Source organism: Homo sapiens, chromosome 12, assembly GCF_000001405.40.
Source record: "Homo sapiens chromosome 12, GRCh38.p14 Primary Assembly".
NCBI classification, from domain to species: Eukaryota; Metazoa; Chordata; class Mammalia; order Primates; family Hominidae; genus Homo; species Homo sapiens.
Window position 1 is genome coordinate 131,855,863 of NC_000012.12, and position 19,067 is coordinate 131,874,929.

Consider the following 19,067-nt stretch of genomic DNA (forward strand, 5'->3'; position numbering starts at 1 on the left):
CTCCGGGGCAGCCGAGCTGGACCCACAGGTGTGACTACAGCGCAAGCCAGGGCCGCCCCTCCCAGCTCCCGGGCCGTTTTTAGGGCGCCGTGGCTGCAGCGGGGCGGCTGGCTCTGGGCTGCTTCACCCCAAGCTGTGATGGGCCAGGGTGGCTCTGCACCCCGCCCCCCTGAGCCCAGGCCAGGCAGGCAGGACCCCCGCTGCGGCTGAGAAATGGGAGGAGCCGAGGAGACAGAGCCACTGCTGGCCACACTCTCCACCTCCACCGGGTCAGGGTCCTTCCACCGTGACTGCAGGACAGGACCCCCACGGCTTCTCCACTTAACAGCAGCAGGATCCTTGCCTTCTCGCTCGCTCTGTCACCCCCAGTCTGTTTCTCTGTCTCTGCCTCTCTCTGTCTCTGTCTGTATCTCTGTCTGTCTCTCCAACTCAGTCTCTATCTTTCTCTCTCCTTGTCTCTCTGTATCTCTGTCCCTCTCCCTGTCTCTTGTCTCTCTGTCTCTCTCCCTGTCTGTCTCTCCTTGTCTCTGCCTGTCTCTGTCTCTATATCTCTGTCTCTCCATCTGTCTCTCTCCCTGTCCCTGTCTCTCTCTGTCTCCCTCCCTGTCTCTGTCTCTCTGTCTCTATCTCTGTCTCTCTCCCTGACTCTCTCTCTCTGTGCCTCTCTGTCTCTGTCTCTCCTTGCCTCTGCCTCTCTGTCTCTATATCTCTGTCTCCCCATCTGTCTCTGTCTCTCTGTCTCTATCTCTGTCCCTCTCCCTGTCTCTGTCTCTCTCCCTGTCTCTGTCTCTCTGTCTCTCTCTCTCTGTCCCTCTCCCTGTCTCTCTGTCTCTGTCTCTCCTTGTCTCTGCCTGTCTCTGACTCTATGTCTCTGTCTCTGCATCTGTCTCTCTCTATCTCCCTGTCCCTGTCTCTCTCTCTGTCTCTCTGTCTCCCTCCCTCTCTCTGGAGGTTGCCTGGCCTCCGCCGCTGGTCTCCCCTGCACTTGCACCATGGTGGGGGGCCTGGCTTGCTCCTGTCGTATGGCAGTTGGCGCTGGCTCTGGCAGGAGCCTCCATGGGGCCTGGGCTCCTCCCAGCACTCGGCTGGTGCCATGCAGGTGCCTGCATTTCTGTCACTCTTTTTTTTTAGACGGAGCCTTGCTCTGTCACCCAGGCTGGAGTGCAGTGGTGTGATCTCGGCTCACTGCAACCTCCGCCTCCCGGGTTCAAGCCATTTTCCTGCCTCGGCCTCCTGAGTACCTAGGATTACAGGCACAGGCCACCACGCCTGGCTAATTTTTGTATTTTTAGTAGAGAAGCTTTCACCATGTTGGCCAGGCTGGTCTTGAACTTCTGACCTCAAGTGATCCACCCACCTCGGCCTCCCAAAGTGCTGGGATTACAGGTGTGAGCCACCACGCCCGGCCTTCTGTCACTCTTTATTTGCTCAACGAACACCTATTAAGCCACAGGCACTGTTCCAGGTGCTGGGGCCACAGCCTTGAACCAAACAGGCCAAATCCTTAATCTTGTGAAATCTTCTGTAAATCTTCCTGTATTCCAGTGGGGAAAAAAGGCAGCCAAGCAGATGGGGCTGTACCTGTGAGAGTGTGTCACCCGTGGGTGGAGTGTGCAGTGATCAGATGTTGGTAGGAAAATGAGGCAGGGGGGCGGTGTTTGTCGAGGAGGGAAGCCGAGCCTGCAGGAGCTGAAGGAGGCTGCACACAGGCCCTGCAGCCAGTGGTGTTGGGTGCTCTGGAGATCGCTGGGTGCTCTGGGAGGTGCTGGGTGCTCTGGGGAGGTGCTGTGTGCTGGGTGCTCTGGGGAGGTGCTAGGTACTCTGGGGAGGTACTGGGTGCTCTGGGGAGGTGCTGTGTGCTGGGTGCTCTGGGGCAGTGGTGGGTGCTCTGTGGTGGTGGTGGGTGCTGTGAGGAGGTGCTGGGTGCTCTGGAGAGGTACTGAGTTCTCTGGGGAAGTGGTGGGTGCTCTGGGTTGGTGCTGGGTGCTTTGGGGAGGTGCTGGGTACTCTGGGGCGGTTCTGGGTGCTCTGGGAAGATGCTGGGTACTCTGAGGCAGTGCTCTGGGGAGGTGATGGGTACTCTGGGGTGGTGCTGGATGCTCTGGGGAGGTGCTGGGTGCTCTGGGGATGATGCTGGGTGCTGTGGGGAGGTTCTGAGTGCTCTGGGGAGGTGCTGGGTACTCTGAGGTGCTCCTGGGTGCTCTGGGTCATGCTGGGTGTTCTGCCTGATGCTGGGTACTCTAGGAAGGTGCTGGGTACTCTAGGAAGGTACTGGGTACTCTGGAACAGTGCTCTGGGGAGGTGCTGGGTACTGTGCGGTGGTGCTAGGTGCTCTGGGGCGGTGCTGGGTGCTGTGGGGAGGTGCTGGGTGCTCTAGGGAGGTGCTGGGTACTCTAGGAAGGTGCTGGGTGCTCTGGGGAGGCCCTGGGTGCTGGGTGCTCGGAGGAAGCCCTGGGTGCTGAATGCTCTGGGGAGGCCCTGGGTGCTTCAGGGATGTGCTGGGTGCTCTGGAGAGTCTGAGGAGACGCTGGGGTGTCAGGGATTTCTGTGTTTACTGTGCGGGCTCAGGGGAGCCACGGGAGGGTTTTGGGCAGAGTGGGGCCTGATGAGACGGAGGTTCTGCAGGTCCATCTGACTGCCGTTCTGAGAATGGGTGGACGTGGGGCCAGTGAGGGTGCAGGGCTGGGATTTGCCAGGGAGAGACAGTGGCTTGGACGAGGGCTGTGAGGGAGACACATCTTGGTTGTATTTGGAGATTTGTGAGGACTATGGCAGAGCGATGAGACCTCCCTTGAGCATGGGAGGGCTGCGTTTGCCGTTTTTGCCTGCGGGAGGGCGGTTTGATGGTGATGGCCTGGTGATTCCCACGTGGGAGTCAGAGGTGTGCTGATGGGATTTTCCACGACAAGTGTGAGACGGCTGGTCCTGCAGGGCTTTCTTAGACTTCACATGATGCTCCCGGTGCAGAGGGCGGATCTGTGTCCCCCGCTGCACACTGGCAGGCTCGAGACTTCTGTGGGTCCTTGAGGGCTTCCAGGGGAGGCGGACATAGCCTCCACCCAGTCCTCTGAAACGGGGAGAGAGTGTATGTTATTTTTGTTTTGTTTTGTTTCAGATGGAGTCTTGCTCTGTCACCTAGGCTGGGGTGCAGTGGCACAATCTCGGCTCACGGCAACCTCCGCCTCCCGGGTTCAAGCGATTGTCCTGCCTCAGCCTCCCGAGTAGCTGGGATTACAGCTGCGCACCACCAAGCCTGGCTAATTTTTGTATTTTCAGTAGAGACAGGGTTTCCCCATGTTGGTCAGGCTATTCTCAAACTCCTGACCTCGTGATCCGCCCGCATCGGCCTCCCAAAGTGCTGGGATTGCAGGTGTGAGCCACCGCACCCGACTGAGAGTCTATGTTTTTTAAAAGATGTGGTTGAAGTCTTTTCAGACATGCCCAGGCTTTGAGAATTTCTTTGGCCATCTAAAGGCTGTAAGAGCTTTGTTCTGGGTGTTCACAACCAGTTGTATAACAGAAGACTCCCTGTGTGTAAAGTAACGAATCATTGATATGTGACTTGTCCTGCATTCTGTTAAATACTAAAGAATAGGCTGGGCACAGTGGCTCACGCCTGTAATCTCAGCACTTTGGGAGGCTGAGACAGGTGGATCACTTGAGGTCAGGAGTTCGAGACCAGCCTGGCCAACATGGTGAAACCCTGTTTCTACTAAAAATACAAAAATTAGCCTGGCGTGGTGGCACATGCCTATAATTCCAGCTACTCGGGAGGCTGAGGCAGGAGAATTGCGTGAACCTGGGAGACGGAGGTTGCAGTGAGCTGAGATCGTACCACTGCACTCCAGCCTGGGCCACAGAGTGAGATTCCATCTCAAAAATAAATAAATAAATAAAATAAAAAATAAATTAGCCAGGCATGCTGGTGAGCGCCTATAATCCCAGCTACTCAGGAGGCTGAGGCAGGAGAATCGCTTGAAACTGGGAGGCGGAGGTTGCAGTGAGCCGAGATCACGCCACTGCACTCCAGCCTGGGCAACAAGAGCGAAACTCCATCTCAAAAAAAAACAAAACAAACGCAAGCTAGCTGGATGTGGTGGGCACCTGTAATCCCAGCTACTCAGGAAGCTAAGGCGGGGGAATCGCTTGAGCCCAGGAGGTGGAGGTTGCAGTGAGCTGAGATTGTGCTACTGCACTCCAGCCTGAGTGTCAGCGAGAGACTCTGACTCAAACAAAAGAATAAAACACAGGCCGGGCGCAGTGGCTCACGCCTGTAGTCCCAGCACTTTGGGAGGCCGAGGTGGGTGGATCACGAGGTCAGGAGATGGAGACCATCCTGGCTAACACGGTGAAACCCTGTCTCTACTAAAAGTACAAAAACAAAATTATCTGGGCGTGGTGGCAGGCCTCTGTAGCCCCAGCTACATGGGAGGCTGAGGCGAGAGAATGGCGTGAACCCAGGAGGCGGAGCTTGCAGTGAGCCGAGATCACGCCACTGCACTCCAGCCTGGGCGACACAGCGAGACTCCAAAAAAAAAGGAAAAGAAAAAAATCACTCATTTAAAAAGAAAGAAAAGAAAGAGAGAGAGAAAGAAAAGAAAGAGAAGAAAAGAAAGAGAAAACAAAAGAAAAGAAGGAAAGAAAGGAAAGAAAGATCAAAACTAATCCAATCGGTCTCAGCCAAGCTAGGTCCTGGGGCCACAGGAGGATCCCTGCAGCCTGTTGCATGAATCAATCAACCTTCCCTGGAACACAGCCAGGCCCATTTGTTTAAATAATAATGCACTAAACAAGGCAGCGGAGCGGTGGGCTGGCCTCTGGGAGAGGTGACACAGCAGCTTTTAGTTGTCACAACACTCGTTTCCCAAGCACAAAGAGAAACCAAAGGACGCGCAGAGGAAAGGTGGTCTCCCGGCTGGGGAGGACCTGGGATGTGAGGGAAGAGGGAGGGAGGGAGCAGGGATGCATGAGCCCGGCTCTGGGGCTCCTGCACCCCTCAAGGCAGGCTGAGGCCGGCCTCGCCCTGGTTGCATCACCCAGGACGCCCTGGGGATCTCCAGGCCACCGTGGCAGCCGGGCCCCTGATGCAATCCACGGCTGTCTGGCAGCATGACCTGCCCCGGTCAGCCTGGACTCTGCCCTGCCTGGGGGCCCAGCCCTGACCACAGCCTCCAGCGATCCCTCCCTTCCCAGGGTCTGTTTACAGGCGCTTGGAGCATCAGGCGCATTTCTATCATGAACTCACAGGGTGGTGCCCAGCGAGTGTCTCTGATCTGTAAACTGGGTGTGGTGGCATCTACCCTGTCTGTGGGGTTGCAGGAGGAAGCCACACGCATGTGGGGAGCCATGCCAGGCACACAGTGGATGCAACAGGGGAGTTGCTCGTTCTGACCGTGTTCACCATGTCTCTGATGCGCATCTTCTCACGTGAAATCAGCATGTGTCTTAAAATGGACAGAGTAGAAGTTCAACTAGCAACATTGTGTGCTTCCTACTGGCACATACGTGAATGGTGGAGGCTCACGCCTCTCAACCCAGCACTTTGGGAGGCCCAGGCTGGAGGATCACTTGAGCCCAGGAGTTCAAGACCAGCCTGGGCAACATGGTGAGACCCTGTCCCTAAAAAAATTTAAATTAGCCAGGAGTGGTGGTGTGCACCTGTAGTCCCAGCTACTCAGGAGGCTGAGGCGGGAGGATCACTTGAGCATGGAGATTGAGGCTGCAGTGAGCTGTGATCCAGCCTGGACAACAGAGCAAGACCCTGCCTCTAAAAAACCAAGTTAATGGTGGGTGTGTTGTGGACGGCACCCAGGTTGGAAGGAAAGCAGTTAAGTATTGCTACGAAGCTCAGCTGCACAGCATGTCACAGAACCCATCCAGGCTGGGGCTGGAGAGTGCTTTGTGAACCAGAATTGGCAATGATGCTTGGGTGGGCTGGGCCCTGCACTTCCATCTCCCACCGGGTTAGGTGCCCCAGAACAGGTCTGGGGTGCGCCAGGGGCTCTGAATCCCCTCATCCAAGGCTGCCAGGGGACCGGGCTTTCCTGCCATCTCAGGGACTCTGAGGAGCCATCGGACAGTCGGAGGGAGAAGAGAGCAAGTGAGGAAGTCACCTCTGGTATAACTGACATGAGACTTAGATAGTTGGGGTCAAGGTGGATGTAGGGGCACTTTAGCTGGGTGGTCAGTGAGGGCTTCCTGGAGGAGGTGGCATTTGAGCTAGGACTTGCATGATGGGGTGAGCACTTGGGCAGAGGGAACAGCTAGTGCAAGGCCTCAGGTTGGGGAAACAAAAAGAGGCCAAAGTTCAGGGTCCACAGCTCCAGTAGACAGAGCAAAGATTCAAACTCAGGCCACAGGTCCCCAGGGTCAGGGCACACCCCCTGCACCTCACCAAGTTATCGACAGGAGGATGGTGGGGAGGGGAGGCCAGCGTGACAGTGGGCAGGGGGCACTCTGGAGGCAGGGGCTGGGCTCGCTCTGCTGCCCAGGCTGGAGTGCAGTGGCAGCCTCATGGCTCACTGCAGCCCCGACCTCCTGGGCTCAAGCACTCCTCCTGCCTTGGCCTCCTGAGTAGCTGGGACTGTACAGGCCTGTGCCACTGCACCTGGCTAATTTTTTATTTTTATTTTGCTAGAGATGGGGTCTCCCTCTGTTGCCCAGGCTGGTCTTAAACCCCTGGGCTCAAGTGTTCTTCCTGCCTCAACCTCCCAAAGTGCTGGGATGACAGGCGTGAGCCACCGCAACCAGCTAAGACTATATTTTTTAGAACAGTTTTGGTTTCACTGCAAAATTGAGCAGAAGGTAGAGGGAGTTCCGTGTGTCTCCCGCACACACAGCCCCCCGCCATCAGCTGGCCACCCACGGTAGCCCTGCTCTGACAGTCGTTATCACCCGGAGTCCGCAGTTCACGTTGGGACTCACTCTTGGCGCTGTGCATGCTGTGGGTTTGGGCAAATGGAAGAGGACACAGATCACCGTGGTGCCATCACATGGGGCAGTTTCACTGTCCCCATATCTCCCATTCACCCCTCTATTCATCCCACCCGCTGGCAACCACTGCTCTTTTCCTGCCTCCAGGGTTTGGCCTTTCCCAGCTTGTCCGACAGTTGGAATCATCGTCTGTGGCCTTTGCAGGCGGCTTCTTTCACTTAGTAACGTGCATTGTCATTTCTTCTGTGTCTTCAGAGTTTGGAAGCTCTTTTCCTCTTGGTATTGAATAGAGTCCCACTGTCTGGATGCACCCCGCTGACCCACCCACTCACCGACTGCAGGGCGTCCCGGTTGCTGCCAGGTTTGGGGGATGATGACTAGGGCTGCCACACACCCGGCTGTCTTTGCTGACTCAGCAGTCGTGCCTGGGGAGGGAGGGGTGAAGGGTCGGGGGAGGGGTGAAGGGGGTAGGGAAGGGTGAAAGGGGAGGGAGGGTGAAGTGGGGAGGGAGGGGTGAAGGGGCTGGGCCTCCCCAGCTGACCCCAGACCTCTAGGCTGGAGCAGGGGAGTTTTTACCCACGAGCCTGCGGGGGCGGCTTTGTTGCTCAAAAGCATAAATGCACAGAACCGCCTTTGCCTGGGGCTGGAGGGATTTCGCAAGCTCTCCTCCTCTCTGAAGGCACTTGGGTGTGAGACCCCAGGCCTGGAGGCTGTCTGGGGGCCTGGGAGGTGAAGGGGTTCCAAAGGCCCCACCCTCACCCCTGTGTTCCTATAGGTCCAGAGGTTGCCTGGGCGAGGGACTCAGGAGTGAGGTCGGGCTGCACCTGGCTCCTAGGGGTCACGAGAGTGGCTGGGGTCTGAGGAGGGGACACTTGGGCCGAGAGCATAGAGGGGAACACAGGACCGCGCAGGCCCCTGCTGCTCTGTGGCCAAGCAACCCCCTGCCAGGGCTGGCATCTTAGGTGGGTCGATTCAGCGCCTGCACCAAAGCTTCTAACCTGTCAGCAAGATCAAGACGGCCCACTCAGAGCATCTGAGATGAGTGCTTTGTGCATTTGGAAAACAGAGCATTTCCACAGCAGCCGGCCAGGACAGATGTCTGTTTTATTTCACAGGGTCATAACGATGCCATGTCCCCATCTGTTGCCGCAGGTGAAATAGGGGCGGGGACAATCCAGGGACATCTTTCCCAGCATGCATGAACCAGAAATAACACCAGCGTGTCTGAGAAGAAACGGTGAAGAAATCCACCCTGGCTGTCTGTCGGGCAGCCCCGGCGAGGAGTTGAGTCCCCTTACCGCTGCGAATGAGCTGTCCTCCACCCCACGTCGGAGACCTCAGCGCCCGGGGCCCCGGCCTGTTAGCACCTGCATGCCTTTGACGGCAACCCCTGGCATATGCCTGGGCCTCACAGCTATTGGCGGAGCGCCTACTCTGTTCCAGGCACAGGGCACAGCAGCAACCTGGACCCCCCAGGGGTGGCTCCTCCTCCATCCCGGCTTCCTGCTGGAACATGAGCAGGCAATTCACACAAGAAGCCTGTAATCCCAGCACTTTGAGAGGTGGAAGCGGGAGGATGGCTTGAGTCTTGGGAGTTCAAGGCTGCAGTGGGCTGTGATTGCACCACTGCACTCCATCCTGGGTGACGGAGCAAGACCCTGTCTCAAAAAAAAACAAAAAAAAAAAAAAGAAAGAAAAAGAAAAAAAAACAACAGAATATTAAAATGAATATGTAAATGCAGGAAAATCTGTTTTTTTTTTTCCTAAGAGGTGGGAGGAAAGACAATGGAACCTGGTGGATAAGAAAGAATTTCTGTCTGTCAGTTGCCTCAGCCTACAACGTGATGTACAACAGCTCAAAGACAACGAAAAGCTAGAATCTGACAGCCCTGGAGTACCTGCTCTGATTTAAAATGCATAGTTTTCCTGTGAAACACAGGTGTTTTTTTTTCTATACTATGGTGCTATTTTTATAAAGCTTAAAAACAAGCAGGCCGGGTGCGGTGGCTCACGCCTGTAATCCCAACACTTTGGGAGGCTGAGGCGGGTGGATCACGAGGTCAGGAGATCGAGACCATCCTGGCTAACATGGTGAAACCCCGTATTAGCCAGGCGTGGTGGCAGGCGCCTGTAGTCCCAGCTACTCGGGAGGCTGAGGGAGGAGAATGGCGTGAACCCAGGAGGCAGAGCTTGCAGTGAGCCGAGATCCCACCACTGCACTCCATCCTGGGCGACAGAGTGAGACTGTCTCAAAAAAAAAAAAAAAAAGCAAAGCTGGAAAAGATAGCTTCTAGGTATACACATGCACATACGCACTAAGATCGCTTCTAGGTATACACACACATACGTGCTAAGATAGCTTCTAGGTATACACACGCACATATGCACTAAGATCACTTCTAGGTATACACACACATACGTGCTAAGATAGCTTCTAGGTATACACACGCACATACGCGCTAAGACTGTTTAGTGAGAAGCAAGGAGATGATGCAGTGTCAGCGGGGAGTCTCGCAGCTGACACAGGGTGAGTCCTGTCTGACTCCATTTATGTGCAGTCCGGGGATGGGCACGCTAATGTCCAGAGGCTGAGATCAGGACAGTGACTCACTCGTCAGGAACGACGGGGCACCTGCCAGCTTCCTAGGGTCTGAGATGCCCTACATCTTGAGGGGCTGTGGTGACACAGGTGTGCATGTGAGCAAAAATGAATCAGGCTGTGCCCTTCATATTAGTGCACTTGACTGAGAATCGGTTACACTTCAGTAGAAATAACAAAAAACAAAGGAATAATAAGCGCAAAACTCAGGCATGAGTAGCCTGGTTGGGGAGGTTGGGAGGATGGGATGGGAGGACCACAGATGACAATGAAAATGACTGGGCCGGGCGCGGTGGTCACACCTGTAACCCCAGCACTTGAAGAAGCTGAGGTGGGAGGATCGCTGGAGGCAGGAGTTCGAGACCAGCCTGGGCAACTTAGTGAGACCACCCCCCCCGCCCCCAATCTCTACAAAAAGTAAGAATAAAAATAAAACAGCCAGTCATAGTGGTGCACGCTGTAGTCCCAGCTACTCAGGAAGCTGAGATGGGAGAATTGCTTCAGCCAGGGAGGTGGAAGCTGCAGTGAGCCAAGATCCTGCCATTGCACTCCGGCCTGCACGACAGAGCGAGACCCTGTCTCAGAACAAACAGAAAAAATAAATTGGAGATGTTCTTAGTTTTGGGTGAGGTGGTGATTTACAGGGTGTTCCTTATTTAATTATGCTGTTTATATGTGCTATGTATATTATTATGTATGTATTACATAGCAATAAAGAAAAAGGTCTGAGAAGATTATTTAAGTAAACATACAGGAATTCCCAGTATGTTCTTTTTTCTTTTCTCATATACAGTATTTCTTCTTCACGAAAATTTTCAAGCTTAGAAAGGAGTTGACTTGGCTGGGTGCAGTGGCTCACACCTGTAATCCCAGCACTTTGGGAGGCCGAGGCGGGCAGATCACCTGAGGTCAGGAGTTCGAGACCAGCCTGGCCAACGTGGTGAAACCCCCATCTCTACTAAAAAATACAAAAATTAGCCAAGCGTGGTGGTGGGCGCCTGTAATCCCAACTACTCAGGCTGAGGCAGGAGAATCGCTTGAACCCAGGAGGTGGAGGTTGCAGTGAGCTAAGATCAAGCCATTGCACTCCAGCCTGGGCGACAGAGCGAGAGACTCCGTCTCAAAAAAAAGAAAAAAGAAAAAAGAAAGTAGTTGACTGGGCCTGGCGCGGTGGCTCACACCTGTAATCTCAGCACTTTGGGAGGCTGAGGTGGGTAGATCACTTGAGGTCAGGAGTTCGAGACCAGCTTGGCCAACATGGCGAAACCCCGTATCTACCAAAATACAAAAATTAGCCAGGCAGGGTGGCAGGTGCTTGTAATCTTAGCTACTCAGGAGGCTGAGGCAGGAGAATTGCTTGAACCTGGGAGGTGGAGGTTGCAGCGAGCTGAGATTACGCCACTGCACTCCAGCCTGGGCAACAGAGCAAGACTCTGTCTCAGAAAAAAAAAAAAAAAAAAGGAGTGGACTGTAATTCCGGCACTTTGGGAGGCTGAGGCAGGTGGATCACTGGAGCCCTGGAGTGTAAGACCACCCTGGGCAACATGGCAAAATCCCGTCTGTGAAAAAAATTCAAAAATTAGCCGGGCATGGTGGTGTGCACTGGTAGTCCCAGCTACTAGGGAGGCTGAGGTAGGAGGATCGCTTGAGTCTGGGAGTTGGAGGCTGCAGTGAGCTATGATTTCTCCACTGCACTTTAGCCTGGGGCAACAGAGTGAGACCCTGTCTCAAAAGAAATTTTTTTTAAAAGAAAGTAGTTGAATGAACAGCCTTTTATAAGCACCGCACCTAGATTCCAGCATTGTGAGGGCTTTGGATGTTGCTTTATTTATTTTTGTGCTTGTTATAGCAATTTTGAAATAAAAACAGATATCATGACATGTCTCTCCTAAATATTTTCTCTCTCTCTCTAAGAAGGTGCACATTTTCCTACATAACAATATCACGATCACATTTGACAAAATTAACAATTCCGGCCCAGGCACCATGGGTCATGCCTGGAATCCCAGCACTTTCTGAGACTGAGACTATAGGATCGCTTGAGCCTAGGGTTCAAGACCAGCCTGGGCAACATAGTGAGACCCCTTATCTAAAAAACACCAAAAACACAATGATTTTGTAATGTTGTGTCAGACCCATCCATATTGAAATGTGTCCCATCCCCACACACAATGATTTTGTAAGGTCGTGTGAGACCCATCCATATTGAAATGTGTCCCGTCCCCACAAAATATCTTTACATGGATTCGTTTGAACGATTACCCCATCCAGGGCCACGTGAGTTGTGTAAACCTCTTGAGCTACAGTGGCTTCCTATTTCCTCCACGTTGTGAGTGAACATCAGGGCCAGTTGTCCTGTGATGGAAGCTTGAAGCCATGTGGGCCGGGGAAGATGAGGAGTACAGGGGCCCGGGAGGCGTGGCTTTGGTTTAGGTGATCAGGGACAGCCCCTTAGGAGGGGACATCCGGCTGAATCCTAAAGTCACAGAGTGCCAGCCTTGTGCGGTTCCAGCGGAGTATGAGCCTGGCAGGGCTGAGGTGGGAGCTCACATGACTGAGCTTGGCCCGAGGTGTGTGGTGGGCATGGAAGGATGGTTAGAAGTTACGTCGTGGGTGCTGAACCAGGGAACGGACATGAGCCCACCCAGGCCTGTGGCTGGCAGGGCCGCAGCTGAGTCACTTGCTGGCCAGGCTGCAGGCCTGGCTCTGAGCCCTTTGTGGCATCAGATCCTCCATCCTCGAGGCAGCCCATGGGGTTCCCTCCAGGGTCTCCAGGAGCCGCAGCCACTCAGCCCCATGCAGGTCTGTCCCCTGCCCCATGGCCATGTGCGCGGACTGGGGTGCAGCTGAGAATGGTTCCCATTCAGGTCCAGGGCCCGGGCATCTGACCCTCAGCAGGGCCACAGCAGGGCCACAGCAGGGCCAAGCAGCCACAGGCCAAGCTCAGAGCTGCAGCCCGGGACGCCTGCACCCTCCACGGGGTGCTGAGGCCAGGCTGGCTCCTGCAGGAAGGGCAGGATACCCACAGGCCAGCGGTGGGAAGGCTGGATGCACGCTGGTGCCACGGCCCAATCCACCAGGAGGGCAGCGGTGTGAGAAGGGCAAAGGGAAGTGGCCCAGGCCTCACGGCCCACAGTGGGAAAGACAGGGGGAGCCGGCCCGGGATGCCCACAGGTGTGAGGAGCAGGTGCGCTGGGTGTGGCCGCCCAGACACAGCCTGGCCCGATCCCGGAGCAGGAGTCCCCCCGCCCCCACCTCAGAAGGCTGGGATCCGCCACTGCCCCCTTCCCCAAGGCTGGACCACATCCCAGGTCCCTGCAGGGGCGGCACAGCAGGTGGGCAAGGGCCACTGCCGGGAACCCCAGCTCTGCCAGGCCCACGTGTGAGCTCCCCCCAGCCTCCCTTTCTTGTGCACATTCTCTGTACCCCCCAGCAGTGAGTGAGGTCTCCCATCTCAGAGCCCACAGTCAGATTCCCCCACCCCTCCTCAAAATCCTTCTGTTTTTTTAGGTGAGATTCACATAATATAAAATTACCCATTTTAAGCATCCAACTCAGTGGCACCGAGCGCATTCAGTGTGTTTCACGATCACCACCTCGATCTAGTTCAAAATGCGCCGGAAAAGAAAGCTGGTAACTGTCGGCCAGGCGCGGTGGCTCACGCCTGTAATCCCAGCACTTTGGGAGACCGAGGCGGGCAGATCACGAGGTCAGGAGATCTAGACCATCCTGGCTAACACAGTGAAACCTCGTCTCTACTAAAAATACAAAAAATTAGCCGGGCATGGTGGTGGGTGCCTGTAGTCCCAGCTACTCGGGAGGCTGAGGCAGGAGAATGGCGTGAACCCGGGAGGCGGAGCTTGCAGTGAGCCGAGATCGCGCCACTGCACTCCAGCCTGGGGGACAGAGCGAGACTCCGTCTCAAAAAAAAAAAAAAGAAAGAAAGAAACCTGGTCACTGTCACCCCGCAGGCCCTGGCAGCCACTTATCTTTGTGTCTCTATGGATGTAGGTATTCTAGATATTTCACGTCAACACAGCCATAGGATGTGTGACCGGTGACCTTCCTTTTCCAAGTCTGCAGTGTATCAGAAAACAAAAATGTCTCCATATGGTTATACAAATTGTTCCTTGGAAAAAAACAATTCACTGGAACCAAACTTCAGGTGCATCCCTTGGATGGATGTAAATCCTGGTTCTGGGCACACTCTCAGCATCAGCCTGGGCTGCTTTTCTTTTTTTTTTTTTTTCTGTGTGACAAAGTCTTGCTCTGTCGCCCAGGCTGGGGTGCAATGGCGCGATCTCGGCTCACTGCAACCTCCACCTCCCGGGTTCAAGTGATTCTCCTGCCTCAGACTCCCAAGTAGCTGGGATTACAGGCTACCACACCCGGCTAATTTTTGTATTTTTGGTAGAGTCAGTATTTCACCATGTTGACCAGGCTGGTCTCAAACTCCTGACCTCAAGTGATCCGCCCGCCTCAGCCTCCCAAAGTGCTGGGATTCCAGGCGTGAGCCACCGCGCCCCACTGCCTGGACTTGTTTGATTTGTAGCATAATGAAAATCCGTGGGTTCAGCAGCCCACTCGATGTTAACCATGGCTGCCATCTGCCTCTGCGCCTTCTAAACCCTCGCTCCCTCCCCAGGCGGCCACTGTCCTTGATTTGTGCTGCCGTCCCTTGCCTTCCTGTGTTGAAGGTTTAGCCCTAGGGGCATGCCACACGTATCCATCACAGGTGCATCACGGTGTCGTGTTTAGTTTTTAATTGTTTTTAACTTTGTAAAAAGGATGTCACACCCACTGCCATCTCCTGGGTTCACTTTTTCCCACTCAGCATGATGTCACCTCAGAAGCATCCTGTGATTGCAGGAAGCTGTTATTCATGCATTTATTTATTTATTTATTTAGAGACGGAGTCTCGCTCTGTCACCAGGCTGGAGTGCAGTGGCGTGATGTCAGCTCACTACAACTTCTGCCTCCCGGGTTCAAGCAATTCTCCTGCCTCAGCCTCCTGAGTAGCTGGGATTACAGGCACACACCACCGTGCCCGGCTAATTTTTGTATTTTTAGTAGAGACAGGGTTTCACCATGTTGGTCAAGCTGGTCTCATACTCCTGACCTCAAATGATCCACCCTCCTGGCCTCCCAAAGTGCTGGTATTACAGGCGTGAGCCACCATGCCCAGCCATGAGCCACTCCATCTGGCCCATGCATTTTTCTTGCTGCTGCATAATACTCCACTGCAGAAAAATATAACTGAGGATTGGGATCTTTCCACCTTTTTTTTTTTTTTAGACAGGGTCTCAGTCTGTTGCCCAGGCTGGAGTGCAGCAGCAGGATCACAGCTCACTGCAGCCTCCACCTCCCAGGCTCAAGTGATCCTCCCATCTCAGCCTCCTGAGTAGCTAGGACTACAGGTGCACCCCACCATTCCAGGCTAGTTCTCTGTTTTGTGCAGAGACAGGTTCTTACTACATTGCCCAGGCTGGTCTCAAACTCCTGGGCTCAAACAATCCTCCTGCCTCAGCCTCTCAAAGCACTGGGATTACAGGTGCCCATCACTATGCCCGCCTCTTTTCTAGTTTTTTACTATTATGAATAGTACTGCTATGAACATCATAAATTGATTTTTTTTTTTTGACAGGGTCTTACTCTGTCACCCAGACTGGAATGCGGTGGTGTGATCACAGCTCACTGCAGCCTCGACCTCCCAGGCTCAGGCGATCCTCCTGCCTCGGCCTCCCAAGTAGCTGGGACCACAGAAGCACCACCACAGCAGGCTAATTTTTTAATTATTTGTAGAGATGGGGTTTCCCTATGTTGTCCAGGATGATTTTGAACTCCCGGGCTCAAACAATCCTCCTGTCTCGACCTCCCAAGTGCTGGAGTTACAGATGTGAGCCGCTGGGCCCGGCCATGGTTTTTAAATCCAACAGTGTGGCCGGGTGTGCTGGCTCACGCCTGTAATCCCAGCACTTTGGGAGGCCGAGGTGGGTGGATCACGAGGTCAGGAGATCGAGACCATCCTAACACGGTGAAACCCCGTGTCTACTAAAAATACAAAAAAATTAGCCGGGCGTGGTGGCGGGCGCCTGTAGTCCCAGCTACTAGGGAGGCCGAGGCAGGAGAAGGGCGTGAACGCAGGAGGCGGAGCTTGCAGTGAGCAGAGATTGCACCACTGCACTCCAGCCTGGGCAACAGAGTGAGACTCCGTCTCAAAAAAAAAAACCAAAAAAACCCAGTGGTTGTGCTACCAAGGTATCCTTTTTTGGATGATGCCTGGGGAGGATCAGTGAAGGAAATACTACATTTCTGCTGGAGGTTAGCAAAAAGGAAGAGGTGACCCCCCAGGCACGTTCACAGGCACCCAGTGGCCAACCTTGCAGCCAACCTTGGTCCATGGACCCCTGGTGTCAGCACTTGACTAGGGGGCATCAGGGAGAGCCTTGAGAGGGCGTGTTCTCCAGTGGCAAAGAGCCTGTCAGTGCAAAGGCCCCGCGGCTGCCAGGTGCAGGGGATGGGGAGGAAAGAAGGGGCTGCCCCCATTAGGGGTCTGGGGTTGGTGCAGGTCAGAGATGACAGGGGCTCAGACGCAGTGATCGGGGGATGGAGACAGGAGGGCAGGACTAGGGAAGGGAGGTGAAGGAGATGGACATTTGGGCTGGATGTTGGGGAGGAGGGAGGGCGTGAGCTCAGGAGACTCACCTGGGTGTTGGGCCTTGGGTAGAACTGCACCATTTACAGAGATGGGCAGATTCGGGGAGGGCAGGTTTGCCCGCCTACTTGGTGGAACCAGGGCATTGAGGATGTTGGAGGATTCCACGTTGGAGAGCAGAGGCGTGGGGAGCAGGAGCCTGCCCCGGCCCTGACTCAGCCCTGCAAGGATTCTCCTGCCTGTGGCGGCTCTGCCTGCCTTCCAGACGTGCTGTGAGGCTGGTGACCTGTCTGTCCCATCATGGGGCCGGCTACCGCTTGTGTCAGGCTGAGTCACAGGCAAGCTGCAAAGTCCCTGGGGCACTCTAAGGGCCTCTGCAGGAACCAGTCTGGCCGGCTGCAGGCTCCTGGCCAGCTCGGGCCTCATTGGGAGCTGCTGAAGTTCAAGGGCTGGAGCTCTCTGGGCTGGGAAGATGCTGGATAAAGCTTGGGTCCCTGGCCCTAGCAGTTCCTGTCTCCCACTGTCTTCAGGCCACACTGGCCACAGCTCCCAGCCTCCTCCGTCCCACCCTCACCCGGGCCTGGTGGAGAGGCTGGCGGGACTCCCACACTACCGGGCAATGGTGTTCAGGAAAAGTGACTTTAGCAAAAGCTTCCTATGCACCCTTTGTGCTCTTGTCCTCCCCTTTCCCTTCTTCCCCCTCCTCACGTCCTTTTTTATTTCAGTGAGACTCACATGACACAAAATCAAACATTATGAAGTGCACAACACAGCCGCAGTGCACAGTGCTGTGCAACCACCTCCTTACGCCAGCTCCGAAACGTTTCATCACCCAAAAGGATATTGCACACCCATTCGCAGTCACTCCTTAAGCGCTGCCCCCCAGGCCCTGACAACCACTTTATTTTAATTTTCATTATTACTTTTTTAGACAGGGCCTCACTTTTTTTCCCAAGCTGGAGCACAGTGGTGCAGGCATGGCTCACTGCAGGCTCAAACTCCTGAGCTCAAGCGATCCTCCTGCCTTGGCCTCCCAAAGTGCAGGGATCACAGGCATGCGCCACTGCACCCGGCCTCACTTCCTATCTCTGTGGATTTGCCTGTTCTGGGCATCTCATATAAGTGGTGTCATACGTCATATTGCTACGGGGGGGTGGGGTTGGGGTCCTTGTGCTTAGAGCTCCCAAGATGGTGGTGGGCTGTTTCCAAGATGACGGCAAGCCTCTTGTTCTCTGACCTGGGGTTCTTGGCCTCACGGATTCCAAGGAATGGAATCTTGGGCCATGGGGTGAGTGTTACAGCTCTCTTAGAAGCCGTGGGTCACGGAAGAGAACCGTGGAACCCAGTGACTAGTGTTCAGCTCGATTAGGAAGAACCGGGCACTTAGCCGTGCGGGAATGATGCCGAGCCTTTAGCCCGATCGGGGGCGGCAATGGGCGCCTCGCCGGATCAGGAGCACAGCCGACACCCTGCCGGATCCAGAGGGGTGGAAGTCAGCGGCGGGCCTGCGATGGCAGCAAGCAGCAGTGGTGGATGGCAAGCAAAAGCTCAGCTCGAGCTGTAACAAACACAGAGCAGAAGAGTGTGCAGTTGGAAGATTTCATAGAGTGAAAACAGAGCTCCCATAAAATGGGAGGGGACCCAAAGGGAGTTGCCGTTGCCGTTGCCGGCTCGAATGCCTGGGTTTGTATCCCGATCATTGTCCCTCCCCCTGTGCTCTCAGGTGATAGATGATTGGCTATTTCTTTACTTCCTATTTTAGCCTAATTAGCATTTTAGTGAGCTCTCTTTACTACCTGACGGGGTGGGTGTGAGCTAAGTTGCAAGCCCCGTGTTTAAAGGTGGATGCGGTCACCTTCCCAGCTAAGCTTAGGGGTTCTTAGTCGGCCTAGGAAATCCAGCTAGTCCTATCTCTCAGTCCCCCCTCTCAACAGGAAAACCCAAGTGCTGTTGGGGAGGTTGGCCGACGACCACTGTAACTGCTTCCTGCTGAACTGGGGCATAGTAGGGGTTGTGCAGTTGAGATTTCCTCAGGAGGGGTGTCTTCAATGTCATCAACATTGGAGCATGGGCTAGCAGGCCGATCCAGGGGTCTGTGGTGGATCTTAGTCATGGACTGCATCTGAGGCTCTATTTGAAGAACGATTTGTAGTTTTACAGCTTCAGTTCTGGAAGAGACAAACTTAACAAGGAGGTTAAAGATACAGGGATTAAAATGTATGGCCTGTAATGTAGGGGATTACTTCATTGGCACAATTCACAGGCCCTGACTATCTGCTTGATAGTTTTGAAAAGGCCTGGTCCAGTAAATAATGATTTGGCCATCTGATGGGTGCTATCAATGCCTAAGTGGAAGGTGGGGTGAAGGGTTTTAAGTAATTTCCATTGGTTAGCTGCAGGCAAAAGTATTTTCCCTTCTTTGGTGGCTAGCCATCCTGAGGGGAGGAAATTATGTCCTCCTGAGGTTCTCCATTGTATTTCTCCTGCTGAGTACTAGGGCTTGGTTTCCCGGAGGGGATTACCCCATACTAGGGGTCCTTCTACAAGCATTTCTAATGGAAGGTCCCGCCTTGCGGCTCTTTTGGCTTCAATATCTGCGTGGTGGTTCCCTTCTATTTCCCTTTCCTTTCCGATGACCCCAGCAGTGTAAGACTGCTACCTCTTTAGGTTTCTGTACAGCCAATAATAATCTCCTAATGGCTTCCTGATGTTTGATAGGTGTTCCCTCGGAAGTTAGGAATTCCCTTTCTCTCCATATTGCTGTGTGGGCATGGAGGACTGGGTAAGCATACTTAGAGTCTGTATATATATTTACCCTTTTTCCTTCTCCTAATTCTAGAGCCCGAGTGAGGGCTATTAGTTCTGCCAGCTGAGCGCTAG

General features: G+C 54.3%; 1 long non-coding RNA gene across 1 annotated transcript, besides 5 other annotated features; it reads left to right on the forward strand.

Annotated features, from left to right (window-relative positions):
* Positions 72-623: an enhancer, noted in NCBI's record as "H3K27ac-H3K4me1 hESC enhancer chr12:132340479-132341030 (GRCh37/hg19 assembly coordinates)". NCBI's record gives its function as "activates a minimal SCP1, AML or CMV promoter by ChIP-STARR-seq in naive H9 embryonic stem cells {active_cell/tissue: H9 hESC(naive)}" and the evidence as "EXISTENCE:reporter gene assay evidence [ECO:0000049][PMID:30033119]".
* Positions 4,642-4,936: an enhancer, noted in NCBI's record as "tiled region #458; HepG2 Activating DNase unmatched - State 1:Tss, and K562 Activating DNase unmatched - State 5:Enh". NCBI's record gives its function as "activates a minimal TATA promoter and a strong SV40 promoter by Sharpr-MPRA in HepG2 and K562 cells {active_cell/tissue: HepG2 | K562}" and the evidence as "EXISTENCE:reporter gene assay evidence [ECO:0000049][PMID:27701403]".
* On the forward strand, positions 5,329-8,674 carry LOC124903058 (uncharacterized). The gene is made up of 2 exons (XR_007063537.1): positions 5,329-7,294; positions 8,086-8,674. It is a non-coding gene; the product is annotated as an uncharacterized LOC124903058 (long non-coding RNA).
* Positions 6,830-7,493: an enhancer, noted in NCBI's record as "H3K27ac-H3K4me1 hESC enhancer chr12:132347237-132347900 (GRCh37/hg19 assembly coordinates)". NCBI's record gives its function as "activates a minimal SCP1, AML or CMV promoter by ChIP-STARR-seq in naive and primed H9 embryonic stem cells {active_cell/tissue: H9 hESC(naive and primed)}" and the evidence as "EXISTENCE:reporter gene assay evidence [ECO:0000049][PMID:30033119]".
* Positions 8,158-8,821: an enhancer, noted in NCBI's record as "H3K27ac-H3K4me1 hESC enhancer chr12:132348565-132349228 (GRCh37/hg19 assembly coordinates)". NCBI's record gives its function as "activates a minimal SCP1, AML or CMV promoter by ChIP-STARR-seq in primed H9 embryonic stem cells {active_cell/tissue: H9 hESC(primed)}" and the evidence as "EXISTENCE:reporter gene assay evidence [ECO:0000049][PMID:30033119]".
* Positions 11,962-12,558: an enhancer, noted in NCBI's record as "H3K27ac-H3K4me1 hESC enhancer chr12:132352369-132352965 (GRCh37/hg19 assembly coordinates)". NCBI's record gives its function as "activates a minimal SCP1, AML or CMV promoter by ChIP-STARR-seq in primed H9 embryonic stem cells {active_cell/tissue: H9 hESC(primed)}" and the evidence as "EXISTENCE:reporter gene assay evidence [ECO:0000049][PMID:30033119]".